General features: G+C 33.8%; 1 protein-coding gene across 11 annotated transcripts in view; it reads left to right on the forward strand.

Annotated features, from left to right (window-relative positions):
- CNTN1 (contactin 1) overlaps nucleotides 1-13,406 on the forward strand; it is a 379,977-nt gene that overhangs the window by 264,114 nt on the left and 102,457 nt on the right. For all 11 annotated transcript variants that reach the window (XM_011537926.4, NM_001843.4, XM_024448843.2 and 8 more), the window contains one exon: nucleotides 2,562-2,682. In XM_011537926.4, the coding sequence (XP_011536228.1) occupies nucleotides 2,562-2,682 (121 nt within the window). The remainder of the gene's footprint in view (nucleotides 1-2,561; nucleotides 2,683-13,406) is intronic.

Raw genomic sequence — 13,406 nt, forward strand, 5'->3', positions numbered from 1 at the left:
CACAATTCCAGAAGACAAGACAATGTGATGAACCAGAGACTGAAGAGAACAAGATACATTTGTGGTCCTAAAAAGAGAATGTTCTGCCTGGAGAGCAGAGTGTGAGTGAGATGGCACACTAGGTGAGCTGGAGCATCAGAGAGAGCCTAGAGAATGGAATCAAGTTGGCTACAATAATGCTATGGCTTTTGTCCCAGGAAAGGGAAATTTTAAAGGTTTCAGTTTATCTGCTTTTATGGAGACAAGTGAGTTGGGCCCAGCTGCATTTTTAAAAGGTTATTCTAGGTAACCAATAGAGGAAAGAATAGAGTGGAACAGTGGTGGAAGTAGTGATCAAATAAGATGTAGGGGTTCAGGTGAGAGATGTGGGTAGTTTGGACAAGAGGCAGTAGTGATGGAAAGAATGGATAAATTCAAGAATTTATGATGAGTTTATGAGAAAGTTGAAGAAAGGGAGGGGTTAAGAATGTCCTAGAAGTTCCTGGAAAGTCAGATGACTAGAAAAAAATGAGTATTTGAGGAAGGAAAGCCAAATGCTATCAAGAAGTCAAATAAGATGAGCTGAAGCAGTGGGACTCAGATGAGAATTGATTGAAGAGTAAGAAATGAAGAAATGGAAAAACTAAAAACAGAATAGATATTGTCAGAATCCAAGTAAAAATCAAACAATCAAACAGCTTAATATGAGAAAATAAGAATTATTTATTTCCAAGAGAAAGAAGAGAAAAGAAGAGAGAAGTAAGAGATTGGTAGTAGGAGTGGCTGCCAACAAGATGGCAGAGCACTGGGAGAGGTGAAGGTTACTGGGAAATTCCCAGTAAATTTACGGCCAACAGGACTTTTAAAAACAGAATTATGCAGTGGATGATACTTTTCAAGGTTGATTTACCCTACCTTTTTTTTTTTTTTGATATAACCAGTTCCAGCTCCTTCAGTTGTTCAGTAAACTAACTTTACTAGGTAAGACTTCATGCTATTTGGTTTTCTGATAAAATAGAGAAAGTGCTGAATTTCTAGTCTGGAGCTCCCTGGTATGACAAAAATAAATAAATAAATAAATAAATAAATAAATAACAGACCAAGAGGACAGAAGGAAAAAAACTCCCCTATTGCAGGAATTTGTAGAAATCTTGGGAACTGTTTCAATTTTTGACCAATCTATACCTCAAGGGACTGGAAGATCTCAATCGACATTAAATTAAGACTGGCTAATATCAAGGATTAAGGTGTGTGGCCACTGATCAGTTCTTTATATGGAGATATTAATATTCTGTTCCAACTAACTATACCAATATGCTCTCTCAGCTATTATTCTTAACCTCATTAATCCAGCAAGGGTTGCAAACCCAAATGTTTTCCAAGAACTGGAGGGAACATGATATATGAAGAGGTTATTGGTAGAACCTATGGTGAAGCAAAACGTTCACTCCATGTACAGTCATGATACATCATAGGTATCTAGATATTTATCACTGAAATAGTAAATCAATATTTTTGGTTCATAGGAAAACCAAATGTCCATTTAAAAATTGAGTTTTCCAAGTTTTCATTCTAAGAAAATATCTTGGAGATAATTAACATGAACTTTGACATGCTCCTGCTACCATACAAGCTGAGTGACCTTAGTTATCTTAGTTAAATTACTTGGATTCCTTAAGTCTAACTTTTACTGTTAATCAAATGGATATAATAAGACCTATCTCATAGGGCAGTTGTCAAAAAAGAATTGAATAAAAGTGTGTGTATGTGTGTGTGTGCCTGTATGTGTGTATGTATGTGTATATGTGTGTGTGTATATATGTGTGTGTGTGTGTGTGTGTGTGTGTGTATGTATGTATGTATGTATATACTTGCACAGACCAGGACCCGGTATAGAGTAGGCATTGAATAACTATTAGCTATTTTTGGAAATTACATTGAAATGGTGTCTCATCATCACAAGCAAAATTTCCTCAAGACTCAAAAATATGTGTTGAACACTCTTGGAGGCAATAGAATAGAGCATTGAACAAAACAAATACTCTTGTCCTCGCAGAACTTATAATTTGGCAACAGAGTACATGTTAGTGGAATTGTACATTTTCTCAATTTCTGCAAACTTTTAGTATCTTTGTAAAATGAACTGTGGCACATATTAAAACTAGTCAATTAGATCAGCTTTGTGAAACCAAATCAATCATTCTTCCAAACCATATAGTATTTGTTTGTACTCATTGATACTTAAAACTTATTGATACTTATTAGACCTTAATATTTCTCTTTAAGAGATATCAATGAAATAGTTTCATCCCTTGAGTTTCTCTCGATATAACCCTCTGATTGTGGAAATAATAGAATGTTAAAGATATGAAAGCTAAAAAATACCTTATCAATAAATTATTCACTTTATTTTTCAGTTGAGAAACTGAAGCCTAGAGCAAGGACATAGAGTTAGCATGTCTAAAACACATTCTTTAAGTGGTGTTCATTTTGTTAGGGGAAAAAACTACCTCTTGGATCTTAAATGCCACATAATTGGTGAAAAATGTACTGATTTGAATAATTGCTGTTTTTGCTAACAGCTGGATTCCAATGGGGAATTACTAATCCGAAATGCGCAGCTGAAACATGCTGGAAGATACACATGCACTGCCCAGACAATTGTGGACAATTCTTCAGCTTCAGCTGACCTTGTAGTGAGAGGTAAGAGTTTCAACATTTTAAAATTACAAAACCAAAAGTATTTGACTTGCATAAACATGTATAATCTTCTGGTAACTCTGGTGCAAATTCTTACATATTTAGAGTCTCAATCCCATGCTTAAGAATGGATCTTAAGCTTCTTCCCATGCCTAAGAATGATCTATGCCAGACAAGTAGTAAACAACACTGATTTTGTTTGTTTTACTAACTACGTATCTTCTAGAAAGTTACACCACATATCTCCTACTAAATGTTTGTGCTTTGTAGACTTACCAAAAGTTCTCGTTTCCTGCTAATACTTTTTAGTGTGTTGTGTATAGTGCTGTTTCCTTTTTTATTTCTATGGAAAAGATATATACTGATGCTGTTTACTATAACCTCAACTGTTATATATTTATCACTTTTGTCTTAGAGTGTAAAGTTAATTTATACATGTATCATGTTTTTATTTGTTGCTGGTTTTTTCAAATTAGTGTTTTCGTTCTTATGAATAATATAATTGAGATTGTGATGGAATATACATTTATTAAAAATGCAACCCCTTTGCTACTGGCCGCTGCCATAGCAGTGAGGCTGGCTGGGAACACAGCACACCTTGTTTAAAATAAAGAGCTGGCTCTTCACTGACTGCCCTTTAGTTTTGCACCCAAGAAGTACCATGTGTTGACCCCAGCTTGCTTACCTTTAATATCTCACTTCATGTAACCAACTCCAACCATCTAACTAATCCACAAAAATACACTTTAACTTCCATGTCAGTTGCTTTATTCACAGTATTCCTTCCATGTCTTTTTCTCATGATTTGTTGACCAAATCTTATTCATCCTTCAAGTCTTAAAGTATATACTAAGTTCATGAATCCTTCTCTTGATGTCCCCAATATGAGCTCCGATCTTCTGAATTTTCATAACATATATTGCTTTCTCTCATATGTTTTATAGCAGTTGGTACACAGTTATCTACTCTCCTAAGTTGTAAAATTCATATATGTTTTTTTTTTAGTGAATGGCAGAGTTCCTTTGCATTGTTTCGTAGCTCTCTCTTTCTGTCTCAGTGTCAGTTAAAATTACTATTTTTTCACATTTCACCTACTAAAAATATTTATTGAACATTAATTGTACATTTTGCCTTTACTTTTCACACTATCAGATAAATTGGCAATAAAATGATATTTGTGGCTTGTTTATTTTAATTCTCCTTCCACATCTGGGTCAATATAATTTTACTCAATCTCATGCAGCTCCTGCATTTCCCTCTAGAGCAATGTTAATATGGGGTCCCTAAGCAACACTGGGCAAATGCTGAAAACTCTTCTACTCCATTTGAATATATTCTCCAATAGAGTTTTAAGAAGTCTAGTTGAAGTTTCTTCATCTGAATGAACTTGGAAATACATTCCACAAACCACTTATTGAATAATAACAAATAAAAATGAGACTACAAAATCCTAAGTCAAACAAAATTCATTTAGGTTCAGTATTTTCATTTATTTTGTTATCTGGGACATTGATTGTTTTCAAGAATTATTAGGGAGAGGGATTAGAGGGATTAGTTCACCATTCTTCCTAGTCAGACCACTAGCTGTTAAGTCATTTCCAGAAGTAGCCAAAGTGTATATTTAATTGAAATTGCTTGCATATGAAAATAATTAGCATTAATATTGCAATAGGAGTTATGTTACAGTGTGTGGACATAAATGTCTTCATATGATTACATTGTAGTAAACTCATAGTACTATTACCATAGAATACTCTGTAATATTCAGAGTGAAGAGGAATTTTACAGATGAAATGCAAGGGTAGTCATGATACTAGCCACACATACTTAGGTAATTAATTATCACCACTATATGTATTTTTATAGAGAATCAATAAAAAGAAGCTATAGCCAATATTATGTAGAAATAAAAACGTATACAGCATTTTAAGTCCTTGCACTATAGTAGGATGCTAATAAAACCATACAGGTACATGAAAATACTGCTTACCTCTGTTAAAGTCAGCAGAGTCATAACCATTCTTCAAACTTTATTTCTAATAATAGAAAAAGTATCCATTTCATATCAAAAGAAATTTGCAATTAAAATAGTCAAATATATTTGACTATTGCAGAACTTGTGTCAAAAACATGTATAGATGTTCTAATATGCTTTATATATTTAAACCAGAAGGTAGACAATTAAACAGTTGTTTTTATTTTTTAATAATAATGGTGAGCAATGTATAAGACATGCCCTGCCTTAAGTGATATTATTATTGGTCTATTTATTCATTTAATTATACTTTTGTATCTAGTTCAGGAAATCATAACCTGGAGTCTATGAACAGGCTTTAAGGGATCCATGGACCACCAGAAATTGTACATAAAATTCTACGTGTATGTACATTTTCCTGGGAAAATGATTTGTAATTTTCATAAGATTTTCGTAGCCAGCAATGTCCCACAAGGCATTAAAAAGCTAATCTATTTTTTATTTCCCCATCTAGATCAAGACTCTCTAATAAAATAAATTGAAGAGATGATTATTCACTTTATGCAAAAGAATAAAATACTAATACATTTCATGTAGTTAAATCTAATAGCACATTTAGATTGTGAATTGCTTTTAAAAGATTCGATTTGCACTCAACCCTTCAAAATTACATGTTTGTAAAAAATATTAAATATGTTATGTAGTAGACAGTAGAAATCTATAAGAACTTTCCATATTTGAGATGGACTAATTTTAATCCATATTCAGATATTGGTAATCTGAACTGCAGCTGCTGAAATTAGTGGTGCAATGAGAAGGACAGTAAACACAGTAGAGGGGAAAGCAATTTCATCTGAGGATCGCTAAAAAATTTTTTATAACAAAATTATTTCTGTGTATAAATGATTATGCCTTATCAGAGAAGACTGAAACAAAAGTATAAATATTTAGACATAATTAAGATTGTGGATTTCTTTTAGCCTACATCACACTGAAGGAAATGAATACATAGTAAGAACAGTGTTGCTGCCCTAATCAACATGTGTGTGTGCGTGTGTGTGCATGTGTGCACGCATTTGTAATTGTGGGTGGAAAAGGGTGAGTATATGCATACAGCATGATGAAAGCAATTTCTATCAGAAAAGAAGTGTGTTTTAATTTATTCCTTGCCTTTTTATTGTATATTGAGCTTAGAATGTAAGCAGTCAAGTAGTTAAATCTGAATGCCTCTAAATATAAAACTAAAATTAAATGTAGGAAAAATATAGTCAATGGAAAATGTAGCATTGGATCTGATTTCATGGGGCCTTTTACTGAGAGAAAACACTCCCGCTGTGAGTTTTTTGTGTCATGTATGGTAGGATTTAGAAATGAAGAAAGCAGTGGCAATTGTCGCCAAAGAAAAACAATCTGTAGAAAATGTCCCCGATAATAAGATATGAACTATTGTAATTCTGTAAAAGCATAAATGTGTACTTATAGAAAGCTATAGCACTTTAATTTATTTACCATATAACTGGGTCCAAAGATGCTTGAGGAAAAGAGGCCAGTAAAGTTGCATGCATTGTCTAATCCTCCAGCTCTGCAAACAACTTCAAATCATGAGATTGTATTGACCATGTAATTTTCACTTTTCTTTTCCAAAGTTGGCTTTTATATGAGTTATATCTGTTAACTTTGGCAACATTTCTGTTAGTCTTTCTATAGTATAGAGATTATTTTTGCAAGAGTAACATTTCTTCAAATGCTGTTGTCCAGGAGGTCTAACATATAAAATCGAAGATGAAGATAAATAAATAAACATTTGTGTCGTCACAACCCTGGCAAAAGCAGATTATCTACTCTGAAATAGGACACCTTCAACCAGCCCCCTAAGGATTCTAACAAATTTAGATAAATAAAATATGAATCTATATAAAAAATGAAAATTGATGGCCAGGTGTGGTGGCTCACAACTGTAATCCCAGCACTTTGGGAGGCCAAGGAGTGCGTATTGCTTTGAGACCAGCCTGAGCAACATGGCAAAAAACCCGTCTCTACCAAAAATACAAAAATAAGCTAGGCATGGTGGCAAGAGATTAAAATGCTATGCTTGATATGATGACATTTAAATAACTTATAGAAGATTTTAGTGAAAGTTTATTTTTTTCCTATGAAGAACACATATTGACCTCAATTTTCCAATTTTCCAAATAATATTGTTGGTGAAAGGAGTAATTTCAGAATCACCCCTTTAAGACAGGGGTTTGTATAATATACCTGAAGGAATTTAGAACTTAAATCACTATAGATTACTTAATATTTAAGAGGCCTTAAATATGTTGCGTTATGTTTAAAATGTTTAAAATATTTATATTTTAAAATGTTAATATTAATATTTAAAATGTTAATATTTAAAGGTCTTAAATATGTTGCCTTATATTGCCTTAGCTTTAAAATAAGAACCAGGTATTACACTTCAGATGTTTTTAGGCTTCTGGTATAAAAGTCTACATTAAGAGTATTGATACAAATTTCCTCTGTTGTTGCAATAAAATTTTTATTTCTTAGGTCCCATAAAAGTATATTTCGGGTTGCCTCGTCAAAGTAAGTGTCTGATGCTTGTGAACAGCCCTGTATGAATATTTTTTAGCAAACAACATTTCTAAAGCTCTTCAGCTAAAAGAGTGTCATTTAGAGGCAAGAGTTTTGCAGGATTTATACAGCAAGATTTATTTTGGAAACCTATGTGCAGCTTGCCAAATCTAAATTCTCATTCATGAGTGCACCTTTGGACAACATTCAAAAATAGACCATAAAATTAGGCCCCAAATGAAAAAGAAATTAGGCTTTAACTTGTACATGTATTACCACTTTCTCTGGTATTTCTGATGTATTATAAATATTTTGGCAATGCTTCTGGCTAAGGAACACTTTCCTGCCACCTGGGTGAACAAAACATGTTTGCCACTGAAATTGCCAAAATAGAAAATGCAATTAAGATTATATCTTATATACTATATATTTGTTTACATCTTATGTGTTACATTAAATGACGTTTGTTCACTCAAATCTGAGTTTAAAAACAAACAAAAGAAAAAGAAAACGACTTTGCTATCTAAACTTTTTCTTTTGGCCTGGTTCTCAACTCTAACATATGCTGTATAGAATTTTAAAATGTTTTGGAAAAAGAGTAGCTGAAACTAAAGCAAATGATATGAAAACTCTGTAAATCATTTTCTCCTCAAAAGAAGTTTGTGTTGTTTACATTATTACATTAGAAGCTTATTTATTTAACCTTACGTGGACTTGTATTTAGGTGAAAACACCGTGTAAGTGAGTGTGTGTGTGTGTGTGTGTGTGTGTGTGTGTGTGCATGCAGCTTTCCACTTTATTTCTAAGGAAAAAATACAGTTACAGAATGGAGAGAGATATTAGTTAGAGGTCATCTTTATTGATATACCCTGTTAAGGTTTTTATTGCTTAGCCTAATGACGTGGTTACCAGATTTTTTCTTAAGAAGGCTATTTAGTTGATTACTAAACCACTTTTAAACTCTTGGATAAGTTAAAGTAACACGGTCGAACAAATAAATAAGCCAATAAGCCTGATGGAAGCTGTCAGTATACGTTTTAGCTGGAATAATATTGCAGTATTTTAAAGTACTATAATAGTTGCCTAAAGGTCTTTTCTATGGAAAATGCTCTTGGGTATTTTACTCCCAGCTGGTTTACATTAGCAGAGTTAATATCCAGAGTATCCCACTCTTCACTGTCCAGACAAAATTAGTTCTGAAGCATTTACTTGGAGATGATGGTCCAGGAAAATTAGTATTCTTTTTTTGTAAGAAATATGGAATAGATAAACATTTTCTTTCTCTAAGATAAAAGTGTTCTAATGGTCCTATTATTGGCAAATCATGTGTTAGTTACGTCTTTTCTCCTTCCCACTTTTTCACAGTAACTATATGAAATCTCTGCATTTATGTTCAAATTTGAAAATACAATTTTAAATGTAGAACTAATCCTATGGGTTATCTAGAAAGTTCCTACCCCTTCATTTAACAACTTGGACTCTGAGAGAAAGAGTTCCTCCCCTGTATTTTCCATCTACATGGTGGCAAACAATAATCTTGGGACCCCAGTCCAGTCTTCTCATTGTACTAGACTTTCTCCAGAAAGTATGGATAAATAAAATCTATAGTTAATTTCTAAAACTCACTATACCAGAAAGATTATCAAGTCTATTCTGGAGCTGGTAGGACAAATTCTTTTACTAATTTTTACTAAATAGTAAAAGTTATTGATTTCAGTTTCTGCTCTTTTCTCTTTCTGTTCCTACTATCTGGCATATGCTAATACAAAATATATAATTTTTAAAACATTGTAGGAAAAATAAAGCCAAAGACATGCATTATAAACAGATGTAATCATTAATTCTTGGATTATTTAGGGTTCTATTTGCATGACTAGCTCAGGGACCTTGGATATTAGTGAGGGCCACAGGACCGCATGTTGCCATGTGAAAAGTTTGTGTAACTCTTGGTGCTAAATCAGATTTTAAGCTTCTGTGGTATCTGGCATAAATGTTCACATTGTGTTCAAGAATCCTTACATTCAACATATTCTTAAATAAGCAAATATGGCTTTATGTTTGAAATTATTATTAAGGTATGGCAGGCCAAAATAAATTAAAAAGGACTTTTAAATTAAGCAATTTAAGTATTATGTAGTTGAGAAGAATAGACATAAAAGTTCTATATAATATACACACCAAGTTAAACAGGCGTGTAAGTATACACACCTCATCACACCACACACACACACACACACACACACACACACACACACACACGCACGCATTGGAAGAGATCCAGGAAAGAGACGATCATATAAAGGCAGAAAGATCTGGGTCCAAATCATCACAGTCAAATCAAAGAGAATGGTTGAGGTAGTTTTTCAAGTATTTGGGGCAGAAAAACACACATTTACCTCAGATATTTGGATAATTGCCTCCACTTTCCACTTGCTCTGGCCAACGAAGTCTTGCCACAGAGACAGACTAGAGATTCCATCTCATCAGCCTTGCAGAACTGAGACAGGAAAATGGTCCTTGCTGCCCACACTGGCTGGAACAATGACAACTGGGCGCCATTCTGAGCCATCCTGACCCCACTCTGCACTAACCACAGCAATGCATCCATTGATAGCAAAACCTGCCTAGAAATTAAGCCTTCCCCTTCCCACTGAGAATCAACAAATTCAGATCAAAGAAATACGACTGGGCTGGTTCTCCATAATTGTAATACACAAAAGCTAAAATATTGAGCTGAAATGCATATTTGGTTATAACAAATGCAGAATTTAGAAAATTTAAAGTCAGAACTTAGTGGTTATTTAAACAAAAACTCTAGTAAAAATGACAGCTTTCCCAATTACTTCTGGAATTTTAAAGTACATCAATAATTTGAAATTGTATTTTTCAATGCAAGTTCAGCGTAAATTGAGGTACACTCAAGAATTTTTTCAAATATGGCCACAAAATAGGTAATTCACTCAGAATGATTCACATTATTTTAAATTTTAAGATAGGTCTTGAAAATTATCTAGATGAACACTTCATCTTACAAATTCAAAACTTAAAATATAAGGATAAGAAGATACTATGTTATGCGCTAATATAAATTTAGATTTTTCTTTCCCTCCACACTAGAGTACAGTGAGAAAAGCTCCCGTGGAGGATTTCTTCTTTTCTGCAATTAATTACTCCCGGGTCTCTTATAATCAAACTGGTCAGCTTTTGGCAAACTGGAATTTCTTTTTTTGCTGCACATTTAGTGTGTACCCATGGCTCCCTTAAAAAATAATCGGCCAGGGGAGGCAGAGGCAGGAGAATTGCTTGAACCCAGGGGGCGGAGGTTGCAGTGAGCTAAGATCATGCCACTGTACTCCAGCCTGGGCAGTAGAGCGAGACTCCATCTCATCTCAAATAATAATAATTATAATAATAATAATCAGCCTGGTGCAGTGGCTCATGGCTGTAATCCCAGCACTTTGGGAGGCCAAGGCGGGTGGATCAGGAGGTCAGGAGTTCGAGACCAACCTGACCAATATGGTGAAACCCCATCTCTACTAAAAATAAAAAAATTATTGGGTGTGGTGGCACATGCCTGTAGTCCCCCCTGCTTGGGAGGCTGAGACAGGAGAATCACTTGAACCCAGGAGGTGGAGGTTGCAGTAAGCCGAGATCGTGCCACTGCACTCTAGCCTGGGCGACAGAGTGAGACTGTCTCAAAAAAACAAAACAAAACAAACAAACAAACAAAAAATAACCCTTCTACCACTCAGTTTGATTCCAGGGAGACAGTAGGAAAGCTTTACAGAACTTAGCAGGCCTTGGGAGCTTTTAGACACTGCATGCATTTCAGTGCTCCATAGTGATTCATACATCCATGCGTATTTACCAGATAATTATGCCAAATTAGGCTACAATTATGCCAATAATGTCAAAGTTCAAGAGCAATACAGATAATCAGAGATACCTACAAGTCTCGAAGAATATGAATAAATGGCAATTAGTTCATATTTTGAAAGTAATTGTGATGTATGTTGGTAAAATACTACATTTTTCCAACTCAAATCTTTAGGCTGTGAAAAGGTATTTATATAAAATGATGAATATAAAATGAAAATAAAGATATATAATTATATAATTTAATATATAATGACAGAATGTAACTACATAGCATGTTATAATAAAATATATATTATATGTCATATAACATGTATTGATTATATCATAAAATGATATATAACATTTATTAAAGACATTGTTTACCAGATTTAATTTTAAAGGACAGGTATCGTTACTGTATTATATTCATTTTACACATGAGAAAATTGAATCTAATGAGGCTAAGTTAATCACTAAAGGTCACAAAGCTACTAAGTGGAAGAACAAGGTTTGAATGCAGACAGTCTAATTTCAGGTAGAACACCCAGCTCATGGCTGTAGCACACTATAACTAAAACTTAATTCAAATATATTCAATGTGATAAAATAATCAGTGTGGAAAAGCTAAGCTGCTGGCCTTTTACTTTCTTGGCAATAAATGTTTATTCTATAGAGTGTCACTGATACTGATCTTGCTATTTTATTTTTGCTCATGTTATATTTATGGCTGGCCTATTACAAGGGAAACTATAGTAGTTATTTTTTTTTCAGCTACTCAACTTTACACAGTTATAATTACAATAGCAAAACCAATAAATGAATTGTACTAGATGGCTTGAAAGCTTGATTTTATAATGTGCTCTTTGGCCTAAAAATAGGTAAATGAAATTTTGATGTGTGTTTTCCTGCTTTTTAAAATAATGTATAATTCATACAGTTAAAAATAGTTCATTCAGAATATTTAAATATCTTAGATTATAATGTCTACACTTATAGGATTTTCCTATAAATTTTACCACGTCATCCTACAAAATTGCTGTGAGGTGGTAGTACAAGGACTGTTATTCCCATTTCATAGGCAAAGGAAGTTTAAAAAAGAAAAAAAATATATTTTCAACTATCAGTTATAAAGCCAGAATGTGGCCAGATACTAGTGTTCCAAATTCAACTACATGAATATGCTTTTCCCTTCTTGATGTTTAATGTTCCCAAAGACAGAAGTCAGACCATATAATTTTGTATTGTGCATCTCTATCATTGTTGGTACATGGTTTGTCAAATTAATTAGGTAATTCCCTCAAAACACTCTGAGTTATTGATAATTCCAAGTTAAGTTAGAGAGTAGAGTAACATTTTAGCTCGTTTAAAATTAGAATTTCATTAATAGTTTCCCTTTTCAGCTCATTTTACTAAATAAGACAAAAACACCTTAGCCTCATTGCTGAAAATATAACCAAGAAAAAACTTAACGACGTAAAATCCCTTTCGAGCAGTTTTATTACCTATGATTTTTGTGCAGTCTGCCATTTCCAGTCTCGTGACTATGCAGTGCTTTCTTGAGGGAGCCTTTTGTGGGCTTGCTTTCCACCCAGTTTCTGGAAATTTAATTTGGTCACAAAAGTTTGGGCATATTAGAATGAAGGAAACTCAGAAAAAGCTTTTACCCTCTAAACTCATCATCGGTTTATGAAGCTACAGAGAGATTTTAGTGCTTTTGAATTCCTACAATAGCTTCTCCAACTCTAATTGTCACTACTGGGATTAAATGAAACATACACAGAGAGAGAAAGAAATGTTTAAGTATTCTGCAACTGACGCTTAGCTAGGATACCCCATTAGATCAGAGCAGCAAGGCACAGTTCTAAATCTTTTCTCTGCCAGAGTGCTTTTCCATCATCATGTTTAACTGTACACTATACTCTCATAACTGATTGCAGATTTTGGCATAAATCCAAAAAAACCTTTTTCCCCTAAAAAGCACAACACTATTTTAATTGTTATTTGCTTAATGCCAGCTAACAGTGATGATCATTGTGTGGACATGGGAAGACATAAGGGAGTGGCTGAGGTTCATGTGCATTTTCCAGGGCACCCCTGAAGAGCCAACACCTTCACCTAAAAGTGCATTGGGATGCAAGTGAGTGAGAGTTAGCATGCTACCAGGATAACTTTGAATCCACTTTATCCTTTGGGAAAAAAATGCAGAAACTTCTGAATTCTCAATCTTATTAGTAGCAAATTACTTGTGACACACCAGAGTGTAGAGATCCCTTGTGTAATTATTCCCAGAATGGTCTAACGTCCGTCACTCTGAAGAACC

The sequence above is a fragment of the Homo sapiens genome, chromosome 12 (genome assembly GCF_000001405.40).
Source record: "Homo sapiens chromosome 12, GRCh38.p14 Primary Assembly".
NCBI classification, from domain to species: domain Eukaryota; kingdom Metazoa; phylum Chordata; class Mammalia; order Primates; family Hominidae; genus Homo; species Homo sapiens.